Raw genomic sequence first — 20134 nt, 5'->3', positions numbered from 1 at the left:
TTTGCTTAGCTCTGACAGCCTAGCACCTAAGCCTGCCTCGTGAATGTGCATGTGCTAGTCTCAGGGCACCACCCCTGAGCTGTGAGCTCCAGTTAGCCTCACAATGAATAACACTTTTCCTAGTGAAAAGTCCCTGTGTCTTGGCAGAGAAGGAGACCTCCATGAAGATGCTTCACGGTAGACTCTCGCCTCTCTTCTTTGTTGAATCCTTGGGATAGTCCCATGATCCTAGGAGAGGGCAGATGTGAGCCAGCATGAAGAAGCATCAAGCAGGGCCCCAGGAATAATCTGTGAATTCCTTAACTATGCTAAAGGGTCTGCAGATGCCTCAGGCCTGCCTAGACGTTGCAGGGGGTCTTTTGAAACTTGTCCCACTGTGGTTTCTACATACAGCATGCCTGTGTTCCCCAGGATTGCTCTCTCCCAAGTGGGACTTCCTGCAGAACCACACAGCTTCAGAAGCTGCTGGGAGTGTGTTTCTGTGGGAGTGTTGCCAGTGTTGGTTGTCTGTGTTTGTGTGTGTGTGTGTGTCTGTAAGTGGAATCTGCTTTAAAAAATGTGGTTAACACACTGTAGCTCTTCTTTGTTTTTGAGTCTCCCAAACTTTTTGTGGCCTATCTGTGTGGCTCTGCTTGGGCTGCTGGGTTCTGTGTTCTTTATTTTTCTGCAGATCATGAATCTGCCATAAATTGAGAGATGGCATGAGACCCGCCATGGTCCAAATAACCTCCCCCCACAAAAACAAAACAAACAAACAAACAAAGCCACACTTCTAGAAAGAAGAGGAGCACAGGAAATTCAGGAACAGAAATCTTTCAGTGTTTTATTGTCCAGTGTACACCCCATTTAGAAACACTAGCAGTCCGGTCCGCAGGGTCCCTTGAATTTACTTCATATTCAGTTGCTAGCCAAGCAGGACCTCCACACCGTGAGGGGGCACTCTTCCATCATCTTTGGATTTCATTATGGGAAAGATACTTTTAACTTCAGATAAAGCTGAGGATACAAGCTGGTGAGGGATGGATGGGGTCCCGCACATTCGCCTGCAAAAAAATGTGATGACAGATGTTACAGAAGGTGCTTCCAACTGCATCCCCACATTTCCTTAAATATACAAGCCATCCACACCATGGCCTGGTGTACATTTGGGAGCACCCCAATATGCAGGGAATGTTTGGAGTGCAAACTGGAGCCATCCTGGCAAACTCCCTATTTGAGGGCCTTTATACCAGGAGCCAAATGGGAGTGAGGCCATTTGATGTAAGGTTTGATGTGGACACCATACTTACCTCTTATTTTCCTGACATCCATGTACCTCATCAGCCTAAGGTTTCTTGGGTCTGGCTGTACATATTCCACATTAAATGTTTACCACTTAATGGAAGACGACCCTCAAGGGAATCCATTTCATGAGTGTTTTCTTCTAAATACTATTGGGTTTTAATGACTGGGCAACTTTGATTGTTTTAAAACCATAAATTTCTGTAACAGTAGCCAAGAAGGAAACTCTTCTTATCCAGCTTTTATCAGACAGCTGCTTGATACCTGTAGGAGGAGAAGCAGGCAGCTGTACCTGGCTTTTGCCTGGGAAGCTAGGCTCTGTTTCATTTCATCTGCTGGTCTTTTTTCATTGTGGAGGGCTCTTTCATTGGGCTGTTACTGGATGGTGCTACCTCTTGCCACAGACTTATTGGCTGCCAGGGATTTCAGAGAGCAAAAGGGACTTTGGGTAGACTGGCTGTGCTTTAGGTTTGGGGTCATGGTTTCCTTGTGGGGGCTGAGATTATTTGCAATTTGCAAGAGGCTTTTGGGTCTTCTGACAGAAATCTCTAAATGTTGCTTTGACTACAGCACACGACAGCTCGTTCTCTCCTGTGAGCCTTGATTTTCCTTTGCTTATATGGGGGGTCCACAGTGCCCTTTAACAGCACTACCTGACAAACTTTTCAGGATTGCAATCATCACAGATGTCCTCTGAGACACTGTCTCAACCTCATCTGCAACCGTGAGAGGCCACTTAGAGCTGTGAGAATACTGTTCCACCTTGGACTTGCCTTTGTCATGGTTCCTGCCTTTCAACAAGAGCCCCTGCGAGGCTCAGGATGGGTGGGGGCAGTGAGGTTAAGAACCTGGTCATATTTCACTGGCACCCACCTGTAGGGTCACACGTATGATGCTATCACTGAAAGAACCTTCCACAACTCACCAGACAACCTTCCAATCCCCATGAGACCTGATCTTGCACACAGCCTCTTTCAGGAAGTTCTCAACAACCCCCTCAGTCTAAACACCTCCTCCTCTAGTGGAACCGGATCACAGGTACGGCGGAAAGGGGCCCTAAGTTTGAGACTTTTAGGGTTCCACAGTGGGTTATCACATGGAGCAGCTTTTTCCCCAGTACCAGGCCGGCCCTGCCTGTACCATTTTCCTCTGACACACAGGTGCTGAGCCACCCACAAATGCACATGCGTTAGTCTCAGGGCACCGGGCCTAAGCTGTGAGCTCTGGCTAGCCTCACCATGAATGTCACAATTCCGTGAGGTTTGGCGGAGAAGGAGACCTCTGTGGAGGTGCATCAGTGGTGGACTGTCCTCTCTCTTCTCTGTGGGATCCACAGGATAGTCCCACGATCCTAGGGGAGAGCAGACAAGAGCCAGCTGGAAGATACGTCAAGCAAACCCCAGGAATAAACCGCGAAATCCGTAAGGTTCCAAAAGGATCTGAAGGGTGCCTCAGGCCTGCCTAGGTGTGCAGAGGTGAGTCTTTATGAAACTTTACCCACTGTGATTTTTAGGTGCAACCCGCCTGTGTTGCCCAGAGTTGTTATCTCCCAGGTAAGGCTTTCTGCAGAACCATGCAGCCTCAGAATCTGCCGAGCTGTGTGTTTCTGTGAAAGTATTGAGTCTTTGATGTCTGCCTATGGGTGTGGCTTTTTTGGCACTGTGTCTGCTTAAAGGAATGTGGCTAACGCACTGCAGCAACTTTTTTTTTTTTGTCTCCCAACCTTTAGTTCACCTGTCTGTGTGGCTCTGCTTGGGCTGCAGGGCTCCACGTTTTTTATTTTGCTCTGGATCATGAATCCAAAGTGTAGTGGGAGGCTGGCTGTGACACACCGAAGTCCACATCACCTCTGCCTGCAAATAAAGCTACTCTTCTAGAAAGAAGAGGAGCACACCACATCCAAGAAAGGACATCCCTCTGTATTACCTTGTTCTATGGCCATCCCCGGAGGAAACACTAGCATTCCTGTCCTCACAGCCCCTTGAATTTACCTTGAATTTGCTTCCTAGCTGAGCAGATGCTCCACGTCCTGAGAAGGAACTCCTAGATCATCTTGGGATTTCATTTAGGGAAAGAGAACATGAATAGCAATAAGGTCAGAAGGGGTAAGGATGCAATCTGGTGAGAAGTGGATGGGGTCCCACACTTCCAATTGCAAAAAATGTGAAGACAGATGACACAGAAAGTGATTCCAACTGCATCCTCACATTTCTTTAATTACACAAGTAGTTCACACTATGGCCTGGTGTTCAGGTGGGAGTACTCCAACATGCAGAGAACATTTGAAGTGCAAACTGGGGCCATCCTGGCAAACTGCAAATTTGAGGGCTTTCATACTCGGCTCCCATTGAAAGTGAGAATGATAGACACAAGGTGGGATGTGGCCTCCACACTTGCCTCTTCTTTTCCTGTCTTCCGTATTTCTTGTCAGCCTAGGGTTTCCTGGATCTGGTTCATGTATTCCACGATAAAGTTTTCCCAGTGTTTCCTTCTAAACACTGTCACGTTTTAGTGACTTGGCCCCTGTGATAATTTTGAAACCATAAATTCCTGTTACAGCCAACAACAAGGAAACTCTTGCTCTTCAACTTTTATCGGAGTGCTGCATGAGTCCTGTAGGATGAGAAGCAGGCAGCTGTGTTTGGCTTTTGCCTGGTAATCTATGCTCTGTTTCATTGCATCTGCACATCCTTTCTCATTGTGGAGGTGGTCTTTCATTGGGCTGTTGCTGGATGGGGCTGCCTCTTACAATAGATCTATGGGCTGCCAAGGATTTCAGGGAGCAAAACAGACTCTGGGTAGGTTTGGTGGCACTCCAGGTTGTGGATCAGTGTCTTGTTATGTGTTGCTTGCACTTTGCAGGAGTTTTTTGAGTTCTCTGACAGGAATTTTTGAATGTTGCTTAGACTCTAGCACAAGCCATCTTTTTCTCACACACGAGCCTTGATTTTTCTTTGCTTTCCTGGGAAGTCCACAGTGCCCCTCAACAGCACTACTGGACATCCTTTTCTGTCTTGCCATGGCCACAGATGGCCTCAGAGACACTATCTCAACCTCATCTGCACTGGTGAGAGGCCAGTTCGAGGTTTGAGAACACTGCTCCCTATTGGACCTGCCTTTGTTGTGGTTCCTGTGCTTCATAGAGAGACCCTGCGAGGTCCAGAATGATGGGAGACAGTGAGGTTAAGGGCCCAACCATCATTCATAGGCACCCAATTCTAGTTTCTCAGGTATAATTCCATCACCCAAAGACCCCTCCTCAACTCACCAGACTACATTCCAATCCCCATGGGACTGGATTCTTGCACACAGCCTCTTTCCAAAAGGGAATCAGAAGAACAGATTTCAGCGACCACCTCAGTCTCTGAATGCCTCCTACTCCTGCAGGAGCTGACCAGGGAGACGGCTTGAAGTCGCCCTAACTTCGAGCATTGTAGGGTCCCGCAGTGCATTATTGCAGGCAGCCTATTTCTGGATACCGAGCCAGCTCTATGTGTACCATTTTCTTCTGCTTCCACAGGCTAACATCTGTGAAAGCCAGGCCAGCAAGCATGCCCTCAAATGCACATGCACGCCTCAGGGCACCAGGCCTGACTATGAGCTCTGGCTAGCATCACAATGAATGTCACCATTACATAGAGATCAGTCCTGGCTGCGTGGCCAAGAAGGAGACCTCCATAGAGGTGCCTTGGTGGTGGACTCTTGCCTGTCTTCTCTGAGGGATCCACAGGATACATCCATATTCCTAGGAGAGGGCAGACATGAGCCAGCATGCAGAAATGTCAAGCAGAGCCCAAGGAATAAACTGCAAAGTCCCTAAGGCTACAAAAGTATCTGCAGGATGTCTCAGGCCTGCCTGGGAGTTGTAGGGTTGAGTCTTTCTGAAACTTTCCCAACTGTGATTTCTAGGTAGAGCGCTCTGTGTTTGCCGGGGTTGCTCTCTCCCAGGTGGGGCCTTCTGCACAAACACACAGCCTCAGATGCTGCCAGGCTCTGTTTCTGAGGGCATGTTGCAAGTGTTGGATGTCTAGGTGTGGTGTGGCTTTTTGGCTTTGTGTGTTTTAGTGTGTGTGTGTGTGCACGCGGGCCAGTAAGCGGAGTTTGTTTAAAGGGAGGTGGGTCACACACTGCAGAGCTTCTTTTATTTGAGACTTCCAACATTTTCATGCCCTGTCTGTATGGCTCTTCTGGGGCTGTAGACCTCCCTGTTCTTTATTTTTCTGAATCCACAGTGAATTGCGAGGCTGGCTGTGACACGCTGAGGTCCACATAACAAATGACTTCCAAACAAACAAACAAAAAAAGCCACTCTCTAGAAAGAAGAGCTGCAGCACACCATACCCAAGAACAGAAATCCTTCAGTGTGTCAGTGTCCTGTGGCTATCCCAGGGAGAAACACTAGCAGTCCTGTCCACAGGGCCCCATGAATTTACCTCAAATTTTGTTCATAGGTGAGCAGGTACTTCCTGTCGTCAGGGTTCACTCCTCCATCATCTTGGGATTTCATCCTGGGTCATAGAGTGTGAATGGCAATAAGGTCAGATAGGGGTGAGGATACAACCTGATGAGGGGTGGATGGGGACCTGCACCTTCACCTGCAAAAATGTAAAGACAGGTGACACAAAAGGTGCTTCAAACAGCATTCCCACATTTCCTTAATTGCAGAAGCAGTCCACAACTTGGCCTGGTGTTTAGTTGGGAGTACTCCAACGTGCAGGGAATATTTGAAGTGCAAACTGGGGCCACCCTGGCCAACTCCTATCCTGACTTACATGTGCCTCATAATCCTAAGGATGATTGGGTATGGCTCAATGTCTTCTACACTAAATGTTTCCCAGTTCATGGAAGGTGACCCTTGGGGGGAATCCATTGAGTAAGTGTTTCCTTCTAAACACTTACTGCCCTGTCATGTTTCAATGACAGGGCAGCTGCGATGCGGTAATTCTAAAACAGTAACTTCCTGTTACTGCTGCCAACAAGGAAACTCCTGTTCTCCAAGTTTTATTGAAGGGCTGCATGATTCCTGTAGGATGAGAAGCAGGCAGCTGTGTCTGGATTCCACCTGGTAATATGGTCTGTGTTTCATTTTATGTGCACATCCTTTCTCATTGTGTAGGGGGTCTTTAATGTGCTGTTGGTGGATAGGGCTGCCTCTCATCACAAATTTATTGGCTGACAGGGATATCATGGAGCACAAGGGACTTCAGGTAGGCTAGCCACATCCCAGGTTCTGGGTCTTGTTCTCATTATGTGGGATGAGGATGTTTGCACTTTGCAGGAGGCTTTAGGGTTCTCTGACAGGAATCTTTGAACTTTGCTTGAACTCCAGCAAAAGGCAGCTGGTTCTCTCATGTGATCTTTGATTTTCCTTGCTTTCATGGGGGGTCAACAGTGACACTCACTACCGGACACCCTTTTCAGGTTTGCAATCGCCACAGACAGCCTCTGAGACACTGTCTCAACCTCATCTGTACCTGTGAGAGGCCAGTTCTAGGTGTGGTTCCTGCTTACCCGAGAGAGATCCTGTGAGGTCCAGGATGAAGTGAGGCACTGCGGTTAAGGGCCTGGTCGTCTTTCATTGACACTCATCTCTGGGGTCTCAGGTATGATTCTATCATTCAAAGACCCCTAAACAACCCACCAGACTACATTCCAATCCCCATGGGACCCAATTCTTGCACACAGCCCATTTTGGGAATGGAGTCAGAAGAGCAGTTTTTCATGACCAACTCAGTCCAGAAATGCATCCTCCTCCTGTGGGACCATTAAAGATGGCCCTAGGTGCCCTAAGGATGAGACTTTTAGGGTCCCAGAGTGGGTTATCACAGGCAGCATTTTCCTGGATACCTTTCGGCTCTGCATGTATCATTTTCCTCTGCTTAGGCAGGCTGACAGCTCTAACAGCAGGGCTTGCTGTTAGAGCTGTCATGCTGTAGAGCACATGCTGTAGAGCATGCACTACTCTTGGGACACCAAGCCTGATTGTGAGCTCTAACTAGCACCACAATGAATTTCACCATTGCCTAGTGAAAATTCCTGCATCTTGGCAAAGAAGGAGACTTCTGTGGAGGTGCATCAGTCATGAACTCTCACCTGTCTTCTCTGTGTTATCCACAGGATTGTCCCATGAGAGTAGGAGAGGGCATACATAAGCCAGCCTGTAGTAACGTCAAGAAGGGTCCCAGGACTAAACCACAATATCTCTAATGATCCAAAAACATCTGCAACATTTCTCAGATATGCCTAGATATTGTAGAGGTGAGTCTTTTTGAGACTTGCCCCATTGTGATTTCTAGGTACAGCCTGCCTGTGTTCCTCAAGGTTGCTCTGGCCCAGGTGGAGATACCTGCAGAACCACGCAGCCTCAGGAGCTGCTGGCCTGTGTGTTTCTGTGGCAGTGTTGCAAATGTTGGATGTCTCTGTGTGTGTGTGGCATTGTGTATTTCTGTGTGTGTTTGTAAGTGTGTGTGTGAGAGCCTGTAAATGTAGTCTGCTTAAAGCAATGTGGCTAAAAAACTTCAGTGTTTTTTTTTTTGAGCCTCCCATCATTTTGGTGGCCTGTCTGTGTCTCTGCTTAGCCTGCAAAGCTTTGTGTGCTTTGTTTTTCTGTGAATTATGAATCTCACATGAATTGGGAGGTGGGCCAAATCCCGCTGGCATCCAAATCACCTCCCCCTGCAGAAAAATCTACATTTCTAGAAAGAAGATGAGCACACCACAACAAAAAAACCAGACATTTTTCACTGTTTTATTTTCCTGCAGCAAATACAGGGGGAGACACTAGCAGTCCTCTCCACAGGGCCACTTGAACTTACACTGAATTTGGTTCCAAGCCCAGCAGGTGCTTCACATAATGAGGGGGCACTCCTCCATCATGTTGGGATTTTATCCTGGGACCTAGAGTGTGAGTAGCAATAAGGTCAGATACAGGTGAGTATACAATCTGGTGAAAGGTGGTTGGGGCCCTGTAACTACACCTGCAATAAAAATAAAGACAGTGTTTAAAGCACGTGTTTCCAACTTCATCCCCTCATTCCCTTAATTGCACAAGCAGTATACACAATGGCATGGTGTTCAGGTGGGAATACTACAACGGGCAACGGACATTTGGGGTGCAAATTGGGGCCATCCTGGCAAACTCCCGATTTGAGGGCTTTCATATTCGGAGACCAATGCAATGGAATGAATTGATTCTGGGTGGGATGTGGCCTCCACAGTTTCTTCTTTTTCTGACTTCTATGTTCCTCATCCACCTAGAGTTTCCTGTGACTGGTTCAACAACTTCCACACTTAAGCTTTCCCAGTTCACAGAGAATGATCTTCATGGGACTCCATTGCCTGAGTGTTTCCTTCTAAACAGTGTCATGTTTTAATAACTGGGAAGCTTGATATTTTAAAACTGAAAATTCCCATTACCACTGCCAACAAAGAAACTCTTTTTCTCCCACTTCTATCGAATGGCTGCATAATACCTATAGGATGAGAATCCATGTCTGGCCTTTGCCTGGTAATCTAGCTTCTGTTTCATTTCATCTGCACAGCCTTTTCATTGTGGAGGAGCTCATTCACTGGGCTGTTTCTCGATGTGACTTCCTCTTGCCACAGATTATTTAGCTGCCACGGATTTCAGAGGGCAAAAGGGACTTTGGGCAGGCTCCTGCCATCCAGGTTGTGGGTGGTTGCCTTATTGAGGGGCTAAGATTGCACTTTGCAGGAGAGTTTTCAGTTATCTGACAGGAATCACTGAACATTGCCTGGACTCCAGCACAAGGCAGCTCATTCTGTTAAGAAATGTCTTGATTTTTCTTTGCTTTCATGGGTATTTCACAGTGAATATTGACAGCACTAATATTCACCTTTTTCAGGCTTGCCATAACCACAGATGGCCTCGGAGACATTGTCTTAGCCTCATCTGCACCCATTGGAGGCCAGTCCAATGCGTGAGGACACTGCTCCTCCTTGTACTTGCCTTGTCATGGTAACTGCCTTTCCCAGAGATCCCCTGTTAGTCCCAAGATGAAGGGAGGCAGTGAGGTCAAGAACTCGGCCATCTTTTGCTGATACACACCTCTGGGGTTGGTCTCAGGTAAGATTCTATCACTCAAATAATCCTCAACCACACACCAGACTATATTGCAATCCCCATGTGACCTGATTCTTGTACACATATTCTCTTTTGGGAATGCAGTCAGAAAAGCTGTTTCCAGTGACCACTTCACAGTCTCAAAATGCCTTCTTCTCTAACAAAAACTGACCATGGAGACATCCCGAAGGGGCCCTGATATCAAGACTTTTAGGGTCCTGCAGTGGGTTTTTGCAGTCACGACTTTTTCTGATACCAAGCTCGCTCTGCCTGTACTATTTTTCTCTGCTTAGGCAGACTGATAGCTCTGACAAATGGGCACCGGAGCCTGTTTCACAAATGTGCATGCGCTAGACTCAGGGCACCAGGACTGATTGTGAGACCTTGCTAGCATCACAATGACTGTGACTGTTGCATACTGAGAAGTCCCTGAGGCTTGGCAGAGACGGAGACTTTCGTGGAGGTGCGTTAGCATTGAACTCTTGCCTGTGTTCTGGGTCTGGCTCAACAACTTCCACAACAAATATTTTCCTGTTCATGGAGAACGACCCTCACGAGAATCCATTGCTTGAGTGTTTTCTTCTAACCACTGTCACGTTTTAATGACTATGAAGCTCTGAGATTGTTAAAACTGTAAATTCCCATTACAGCCACCAATAAGAAAACTCTTGTTCTCCCATTTCTATCGAGGTGCTGCATAATTCCTGCAGGATGAAAAGCAGGCAGCCGTGTTTGTCTTTTTCCTTGTAATCTAGCCTCTGTTTCATTTCATCTGCATGGCATTCTTCTTGTGGAGGGTCTCTTTCATTGGGTTGTTGCTAGATGAGACTGCTTCTGGCTAGGGATTATTTAGCTGCCAGGGATTTCAGAGAGCAAAAGGGACATTGGGTACTCTGACTACACTCCCTATCATTGTCTTGTTGTGGGGGCTGAGAATATTTGCACGTGGCAAGAGGCTTTTGTGTTCTCTGACAGGAATCACTGAACACTACTTGGACTCCAGCACAAGGCAGCTCGTTCTCTTAGGTGAGACTTGATTTTTCTTTGTTTTCATGAGGAATCTACATTATCCCTTAACAGCACTACTGGACACCCATTTCAGGCTTGCTATCCCAACAAATGGCCTCTGAGACACTGTTTTAACCTCGTCTTCACCCAAGAGAGGGCAGTATGAGGTGTGAGAACAGTGATCCAACTTTGACTTGCCTTTGTTGTAGTTTCTGTCTTTCCTTGAGAGCCCCTGCAAGGTCATAGATGAAGGGAGGCAGTGAGGTTAAGAGTCCGACCATCTTTTCATGACACCCACTTCTGGGGTCTCAGGTATGATCCTATCACACAAAACACCCTCAAGAACACATCAGACTATATTTTAATCCCCATGGTACCCAATACTTGCACACAGCCTTTTTTGGGAATGGAATCTGAAGAGTAGTTTCTAGCGACCACCTCACAGTCACAAAATGCCTCCTCCTCCAGCAGAACCTAACCACCACGATGGCCTGAAGGGTCCCTGAGGTCGGGAGTTTTAGTGTGCTTCAGTGGGTTTTTGCAGACAGCCTTTTTCCTGATACCAGGACAACTCTGTCTGTACCATTATTGTCTACTTAGGCAGGCTGATAGCTCTGACAGCCATGCTCCCCAGCTTGCCTCACGAATGTGCATGCACTATCCTCAGGGCACCAGGCCTCATTGTGAACTCTGGCTTGCATCAGCATAAATGTCACCATTACCTAGCAACAAGTCTCTTCAGCTTGGTGAATGAGACTTCTGTAGAGGTGCGTCAGCAGTGAACTATCGCCTGTCTTCTCTGTGAGATCCACAGGATAGTCCCATGATCCTAGGAGAGGGCAGACATGAGGCAGCCTGAAGAAACCTGAAGCACAGCTCCAGGAATAAACCATGAAATCCCTAAGGATCCAAAAAGATCAGCAGGATTCCTCTGGCCTGCCTAGACATTGTAGGGATGAGTCTTCTTGAAACTTGCACCACTGTGATTTCTAACTACAGACTGCCTGCGTTTGCTTGTAGAACCACAGAGCCTCAGGGGATCCTGGATTGTGTGTTTCTGTGGGAGTGTTGTGAGTGTTGGATATCTGTGTGTTTGATGTCTGTGTGTCTGTGTGGCATTGGGTTTGTGTGTGTTTGTGCATGTGTTACTGTAAGTGGAGTCTGCTTATAAGAATGTGGCTAAGGCACTACAGCATTTCTTTCTTTCATTTTTTTGTATCCCAACCTTTTGGTGGCCTGTCTGTGTGGCTTGGCTTGGGCTGTATTGCTCAGTGTTCTTTATTTTTCTGTGAATCATTCATGAGTCTGCAGTGGATTGGGAAGCATGCCAAAATGTTTCAGCATCCAAATAACCTCCACCTGCAAAAACAAAACAAAAAAACAAACAAACAAAAAAACCACTCTAACCCCCTCTTCTAGACAGAAAGGGAGCACACATACAGAAAGTTTCCCAGTTCATAGAGAATTATCCTCATGGAAATCCATTTGTGAGTGTTTTATTCTAAACATTGTCATGTTTTAATGAGTGGGACGCTTTGATAGTTTTAAAACCATAAATTCCCATTAAAGCCATCCAGAAGAAAACTCTTATTCTTCCACTTCTATCAGAGGCCTGCGTGATTCCTGCAGGATGAGAAACAGGCAGCAGTGTCTTCATTTTCCTGGTAATCTAGCCTCTGTTTCATGTCATCTGCATGGCCTTCTTATTGTGGAGGGGCTCTTTCACTGGGATGTTGCCAGATTGGACTGCTTTTCACCATAGATTATTAAGTGGCCAGGGATTTGAGAGACCATAAAAAAGATTGGCTATTCTGGCTGCACTCCAGGTTTTGGGTTGTTGTCTCTTTTTGGGGGTTGAGGATGTTTGCACTTTGGAGGATGGTTTTGGGTCCTCTGACAGGAATCATTGAACATTACTTGGGCTCCAGCACAAGACCGCTTGATCTCTGGTGAGCCTTGATTTTCTGTTGCTTTCACAGGGAATCCACAGTGCCCATCAACAGCACTACTGGACACCATTTAAAGGCTTGTCATCACCACAGACAGCCTCTGAGACACTGTCTATACTCATATGCACTAGTGAGAGGCCAATCCGAGGTACAAGAACACCACTCCAACTTGGAATTGCCTTTGTCTTGGTTCCTGCTTTTCCCAGAGAGCCCTGTGAGGCTCAGAATAAAGGGAGGAAGTGAGGTCAAGAACCTGGACATCTTTCACTAACACCCAACTCTGGGATCTGAGGTATTATTTTATCACCAAAAGAACCCTCAACAACACACCAGATTATATGCCAATCCCCGCTGGACCCGATTCTTGCACATAGGTCTTTCCTGAATGGAGTCACAAGAGCAGTTTCCTGTGACCACCTCACAGTAACATAAAGCTTCTGCCTCTGGCATGACCCGATCACCAAGATGGACTGGAGAGTCCATCAGTTTGACAGTTTTAGGGTCCTGAAGTGGAGGTTTGCAGGCAGCCTTTTTTTTTGATACCAGGCTTGCTCTGCCTGTACCATTTTTCTGTGCTTAGATAGGGTGACAGCTCTGACAGCACAGTACCTAAGCCTCCCTCACAAATGTGCATGTGCTAGTCTCAGGGCACAAGGCCTGATTCTGAGCTCTGGCTAGCATCACAATACATGTCACCATTGCCTAGCAACAAGTCCCTGTGTCTTGTTGGAGAAGAAGATTTCCATGGAAGTGTGTTGGCTTTGGACTGTTGCCTGTCTTCTCTGTGGGATCCATGAGATAATCCCATGTTCCCAGGAGGGTACAGATGTGAGCCAGCCTGAAGTAACGTCAAGCAGAGCCGCAGGAATAAACCACAAAATCCCCAAGGATGCAAAAGATCTGCAGGATTCCTCAGGACTGCCTAGACATTGTAGGGGTAAGTCTTCTTGAAACTTGCCCCACAGTGATTTCTAAGTATATCCCGATTGTTTTTGGGTTGCTCTCTCCAAGGTGGGGATTCCTGCAGAACCATGCAGCCTCAGTAGCTGCCAGTGTGTGTTTATCTGTGGGAGTGTTGTGAGTGTTGTTTGTGTGTGTGTGTGGCATTGTGTGTGTGTGTGTATGTGCCTGTAAGTGGAGTATGCTTAAAATAATGTGGCTAATGCACTTCAGCACTTCTTTTTCGAATCTCCCAACATTCTGTTGTGTGGTCATTGTGGCTTTGCTTGGGCTGCAGGGCTTCATGGTCTTTATTTTTCTGTGGATCATGAATCTGCAGTGAATTGGGAGGCAAGTCGAAATATGCTGGCATCTAAGTCACCTCCCCCTGCAAAAAAAGCCACTCTCCTAGAAAGAAGAGGAGCACACCACACCAAAAATAAGGCATCTCCCAGTGTTTCATTGTCCTGTGGTGAACCCGGGGAGAAACACTAGCAGTCCTGTCTTCAGAGCTGCTTGAATTTACCTCATATTTGGTTCACAGCCAAGCATGTGCTTCATGTTGTGAGTGGCCACTCCAGCATTGCCTTGAAATTTCATCCTCGAACATAATGAGAAGCAATAAGTTCAGGTAGTGTTGAGGATATAATCTGGTGAGCAGTGCATGGGGTCTCACAACATCTCCTGCAAAAAAAAAAAGAAGACAGATGACCCAGAAGGTGCTTCCAACTCCATAGCCAGGTGTTCAGCTGGAAGTACTCCAACATGCAGGGAACATTTCAAGTATAAACTGGGGCCATCCTTTTAAACTCCTGATGTGCAGGCTTTCATACCCAGAGCCAAAGGAGAGTGTAATGGATTGATGCTGGGTGGTATGTGGCCTATACACTTGCTCTTCTTTTTCTGCCTTCCATATTCCTCTTCAGCCTAAGGTTTTCTGGGTCTGGATCCACATCTTCCATACCAAAAGTTTCTCAGTTCACAGAGGAAGACCCTCATGGAAATCCATTGCATGAGTGTTTCTTTCTAAACTCTGTCATGTTTTAATGAGTTGTCAGCTGTGATATTTTAAAAGCTTAAATTTCCATTACAGCTGCCAACATGGAAATTCTTGTTCTCCCACTTTTAACATAGGGTTGCATGATTCCTGTAGGAGGAGAAGCAGGCAGCCATTCTGCATTTGCCTGGTAAACTTGGCTTTGTTTCACTTCATCTGCATGTCCTTCTTCACTGTGGAGTGGATCTTTCATTGGCTCTTGCTGGATCGGACTGCCACTCGCTATAGATCTTTTGGCTGCCGGAAATTTCAGGAAGCAAAAAGAACTTTGTGTAGACTGGCTATGCTCCACGTTGTGTGTTGTGGTCTCCTTGTTGGGGAGCCGATGTTGTTTATGCTTTGCAGGAGGCTCTTGGGTACTCTGACAAAAATCTTTGAATATCGCTTGAACTCCCACACAAGTCTACTTGTTCTCTCAGGCAAACCTTCATTTTTCTTTGCTTTCATGGGGGGTCCACTTTGCACCTCATCAGCACTACTGGACACCATTTTCTGGCTTGCAATTGCCACAGACGACCTCTGATACAATGTCTCAATCTCATCTACACCCGTGAGAGGCCAGTTTGAAGTGTGAGAACAATGCTTTATTTTTGACTTGCCTTTGTCATGGTTCCTGCCTTTCCCTGAGGGCCCCTGAGATAAGCAGAATGCAGGGAGGCAGTGAGGTCAAGGGCCTGTCCATCTCTTGCTGACACCCACCTCTTAGGTCTCAGTGATGATTTCATTACCCAAAGACACCTCAAAGACTCACCAGATGGTATTCCAATCCCCAAGAGAGCAGACTCTTACACACAGTCTCTTTTTGGAATGGAGACAGAGGAGCAGATTGCAGCGACCACCTCACAGTCTCAAAATGACTCCTCTTTCAGTTGGACCTGACCATGGAGACTGCCCAAAAGGGCTCTAGAGTCTAGACCTTTTGGGTAAGGCAGTGGGTTATCTCAGGCAGCCTTTTATCCCACCCTAGTTCAGTTCTGCCTGTACCATTTTCCTCTGCTTAGTCAGGATGACAGCCCTGAGAGTTGGTTACCTGAGCCTGCCTTAAAATGTGCATGGGCTACTCTCAGGATACCAGGCCTGATTGTGAGCTCTAGCTAGCATCACAATAAATGTCACCATTGCCTAGTTACAATGCCCGTGGCTTGCCAGAGAAGAAGACCTCTATGTAGTTGTGTGGGCAGTGGACTGTCACCTGTCTTCTCTGTGAGATTTACTGGATAGTCTCATTACCCTAGGATAGGGTAGATGTGAACCAGCATGAAGAAAGGTAAAGCTGATCCCAGGAATAAACATTGAAAACCCTAAGAATCCAAAAATGTCTGCAAGATTTCATGGGCCTGCCAAGAAGTTTTAGGGGTGAGTCTTTTTGAAACTTGTCCCACAATGATTTCTAGGTACAGTTGCCCTGTGTTCGTTGGGGTTGCTCTCTCCTAGGTCGGGATTCCTGCAGAACCACACAGTCTCAGGTGCTGCCAGGCTGTATTTTTCTGTGGGAGTGTTGTGAGTGTTGGATGTCTGTGTGTGTTTTTGGCATCGTGTTTGTGTGTGTGTGTGTGTGTGTGTGTGTGTGTGTGCCTGTAAGTGGCTCTGCTTAAAATAATGTGGCTGACACACTTCTGAGCTTCTTCTTTTTTTTTTTCTTCCAACACTTTGTTGGCTTGGCTGTGTGGCTCTGCTTGGGTTATGGGTCCCTGTGTTCTTTATTTTTTGGAAGATCATAAATCCGCAGTCAATTGGGAGGCAGGTCGAGAGATGTCTGTGTCCAAGTCATCTCTCCGTACCAAAAAAAGCCAATCTTCTAAAAAGAAGAGGAGCACGTCACACCAAAAATGAGATATTGCCCAGTGTTTCATTGTCTGTCCTTTGGCCAAACGAGGGAGAGACATTAAGTGTCCTGTCTGCAGGGCCACTTGAATTTACCTCAAATTTGTTTCCCACCTGAGGAGGTGCTTTATGTCATGAGGGGGCACTCCACCACAGTCTTGGGATTTTATACTGGGACATAGAGAGTGAGCAGCAATAAGGTCAAATAGGGATGAGGATACAATCTGGTCAGGGTGGATGGGGTCCCACAACTACACCTGTAAAAATAGTGAAGACAGGTGACACAGAATGTGTTTCCAACTCCATCCCCGCATTCCCTTAATTGCACAAGCAGACAACAACATGGCTCGGTGTTCAAGTGAGAGTACTCCAATGTGCAAAAAATATTTGGACTGCAAATTGGGGCCAACCTGGCAAACTCCCGATTTGAGGGCTTTCATACTCAAAGCCAAATGGGAGTGGAATTGATGGATGCTGGGTGGGATGTGGCCTCCAGACTTGCTTCTTCTTTCACTGACTTCCATGTTTCTTGTTGGCCTAGGGTTTCCTGGGTATGGCTCAACCACTTCTACACTAAACGTTTCTCAGTTCATGGAGAATGATTATCATGGGAATCCATTGCATAAGTGTTTCCTTCTAAACACTGTCAAGTTTTAATGACTGGGCAGCTTTGATACTTTTAAAATCATAAATTCCCATTACCACCACCACCACCAAGGAAACTCCCACTTCTATTGGAGGGCTGCATAATTCCTGTAGGATGAGCACTTAGCCATGTCTTGCTTTTGCCTGGTAATCTATCCTCTGTTTCATTTCATCTGGACGGGCTTCTCATCATGGAAGGGCTCTTTCATTAGGCTATTGCTAGATGAGACTGCCTCTGGCCACAGATTAGCTGCCAGTGATTTCAAACAGCAAATGGGACTTCAAGTAGTCTGCCTATGCTCAAGGAGGTGGGTCCTTGTCTCATTGTTGAAACTGATGTGGTTTCCAAATTGCAAGAGGATTTTGGGTCCTCTGACAGGAATCATGAACATCATCTGGACCGCGGAACAAGGCAGCTCATTCTCCCAGGTATGCCTTGATTTGTCTTTGCTTTCCAGGGGAGTTCACAGTGCCCCTCAACAGCACAACAGGACACCACTTTCAGGCTTACCATCCCCACAGATGGCCGCTGAGACCCTGTCTCAACTTCACCTTCATGGGTGAAAGCCCAGTCCAAGATATGAGAACACTGCTCCACCTTGCCCTTGTTGTTGCTCCTGTCTTTCACAATGAGCCCCTGTGAGGCCCAGGATCAAGGAAGGCAGTGAGGTCAAGAGCACTGCTGTCTTTTGTTAACACCTGCCTCTAGATACTCAGGTATGATTCTATCGCCCAAGGAACCCTCAACAATACACCCAAGCACATTCCTATCCCCAGGGGACCAGATTCTTGCACATACCCTCTTTCTGGAATGGACAGTGACCAGCTCACTGCCTCAAAATGCCTCTTCCTCCACCGGGATCCAACCACAGAGATGACCCGAAGGGGCCCTGAGGTTGAGACATTTAGCATCCTGCAGTGGGTTTTCAGAGACAGCCTTTTTCTTGATACCAGGCTGGCTCTACCTGTTCCATTTACCTCTGCTTAGGCAAGCTGACAGTTCTGACAGCTGGCTGCTTGACCTGCCTCATGAATGCATGTGTGCTAGTCTCACAGAATCAGGCCTGATTGTGAGCTCTGGCTAGAATCACAATGAATGTCACAATTGCCTAGCAAAAAGTCCCTGTGGCTTGGCGGAGAAGGAGACCTCCTTGGAGGTGTGTCATCGGTGGACTCATGCCTGTCTTCTCTGTGGTATCCACGTGATTGTCTCATGATGCTAGGAGAGGGCAGATGTGAGCCAGCCTGTAGAAAGGTCAAGCACAGCCCCAGAAATAATCTGCAAAATCCCTAAGGATGCAAAAGGATCTGCAGGATTTCTCAGGCCTACCTAGATGTTGTAGAAGGGAATCTTTTTGAAACATGCCCCACTGTGAAGTACAGCCTGCCTGTATTTCTTGGGGTTACTCTCCCCAAGGTGGGAATCCCTGCAGAACCACACAGCCTAAGTTGGTGCTGGAATTTGTTTTTCTGTGGAAGTGTTGTGATGTTGCTTGTCTGCCTTTGTGTGTGGTATTGTGTATTTCTGTATGTGTGTTCCTGTAAGTGGAGTGTACTTAAAATAATGAGGCTAAAACACTTCAGCACTTCTTCATCTTTTTTTCTTTTTTTAGTCTCCAAACCTTTCTGGTGGATAACTATGTGTGTACGATTGTGTGTTTGTGTGTGTGTGACTGTAAGTGGAGTCTACTTAAAGGAATGTTGCTAATGCACTTTAGCACTTCCTTTTTTTTATTTTTTTGAGTCTCCCAACCCTTGGTGGCATGTCCGTTTGGCTCTGCTTGGGCTATAGGGCTCTCTTCCAGGTGGTGCTGCCTGCACAACAACACAACTTCAGTGGCTGCTGGGCTGTGTGTTTCTGTGGGAGTGTTGTAGTCTAGGATATCTGAGTGTGTGTGTGTGTGTGTGCGCGGCACTGTGTGTGCCAAAAAAGCCACTCTTCTAGAAAGAAGAGGAGCTTTTCTAGAAAAGAGACATCTCCAAATGTTTCATTGTCCTGTGGCCAACCCAGGGAGAAACACAAGCAGTCCTGTCCAAAGGGCCACTTGAATTTACCTTGAGTTTTGTTCCTAGCCGATCAGGTGATTCACATCTTTGGGGGGCAATTCGCCATCATTTTGGGATCTCAACCTGGGACATAAATTGTGAGCAGCAATAAGGTCATTTAGGCGTGAGGATACATTCTGGTGAGGGGTACATGGGGTTCTGCAACATCACCTGCAAATAAAATGAAGAAAAATGGCATGGAACGTGCCTTCAACTCCTTAGCCCAGAGTTCAGGTGAAAGTACTCCAATGTTCAGGGAACATTACAAACTGGGCCCATTCTGGCAAACCCTCAATGTGAGGGCTTTCATACCTGGAGCCAAATGAGAGTGTGATTGATTGATGCTGGGTGGTCTGTGGCCTCCACACTTGCCTCTTCTTTTCCTGACTTCCATGTTCCTTTTCAGCCAATGGTTTCCTGGGTCTTCCTCCATGTCTTCCACACTAAAATTTCCCAGTTCATGGAGGACAACCCTCATGGGAATCCATTGCTTGAGTGTTTCTTTCTAAACTCTGTTACGTTTTAATGACCGGGCAGCTGTGATATTTTTAAAGCGTAAATTCCCGATACAGCCGCCAACATGAAAAACCTTGTTCTCCCACTTTTATCAAAGGGCTACATGATTCCTGTAGGATAAGAAGCAGGCAGCCATGTATGTATTTGCCTGGTAATCTTGGCTCTGTTTTACTTCATCTGCAAGTCCTTCCACGATGTGGAGTGGATCTTTCATTGGCTCTTGCTGAATGGGACTGCTTCTTGCTACAAATCATTTGGCTGCCAAAAACTTCAGGAACCAAAAAGGATTTTTTCTATGCTGACTATGCTGTAGGTTGTGGGCCATGGTCTCCTTGTGGGGGCTGATGTTTTTTGGCATTTGCAGGAGGCTTTTAAATCCTCTGGCAAAAATCTTTCAACATTGCTTAGACTCCCGCACAAGTCAGCTTGTTCTCTCAGGTGAGCCTTCATTTATGTTTGCTTTCATGGGAGGCCCACATTGCTCTGCATCAGCCCTACTGGACACAATTTTTCTGGCTTGCAGTTGCCACAGACGGCCTCTGATATGGTGTCTCAACCTCATTTGCACCTGTGAGAGGCCAGTTTGAGGTGTGCAAACACTTTATCTTGGACTTGATTTTGTTGTGGTTCCTATCTCTCCCCAAGAGTCTCTGTGAGGTCCAGGATGAAGGGAGGCAGTGAAATCAAGGGGCTGGCCATCTTTTGCTGACATCTGCCTCTTGGGTCTCAGTTATGGTTCCATCACCAAAGGACCCATCAAAAACTAACCAGACATATTCCAATCCC

General features: G+C 46.8%; 2 long non-coding RNA genes across 2 annotated transcripts; both read right to left on the bottom strand.

The window, feature by feature from the left end:
* Positions 1–797: 797 nt before the first annotated feature.
* Positions 798–9236, bottom strand: TTTY7 (testis expressed transcript, Y-linked 7). Its single transcript, NR_001534.3, has 7 exons — positions 9200–9236; positions 8097–8258; positions 5715–5789; positions 4550–5026; positions 2519–2632; positions 1290–1545; positions 798–1043 (listed from the first exon to the last, which is right to left on the bottom strand). It is a non-coding gene; the product is annotated as a testis expressed transcript, Y-linked 7 (long non-coding RNA).
* A 2390-nt stretch (positions 9237–11626) lies between these two features.
* TTTY21B (testis expressed transcript, Y-linked 21B) lies at positions 11627–15270 on the bottom strand. The gene is made up of 2 exons (NR_003588.1): positions 15069–15270; positions 11627–11731 (listed from the first exon to the last, which is right to left on the bottom strand). It is a non-coding gene; the product is annotated as a testis expressed transcript, Y-linked 21B (long non-coding RNA).
* Between the last annotated feature and the right edge of the window lie 4864 nt (positions 15271–20134).

This window comes from Homo sapiens, chromosome Y (assembly GCF_000001405.40).
Source record: "Homo sapiens chromosome Y, GRCh38.p14 Primary Assembly".
NCBI lineage: Eukaryota > Metazoa > Chordata > Mammalia > Primates > Hominidae > Homo > Homo sapiens.
This window is presented reverse-complemented; position numbering and strand designations above follow the sequence as displayed.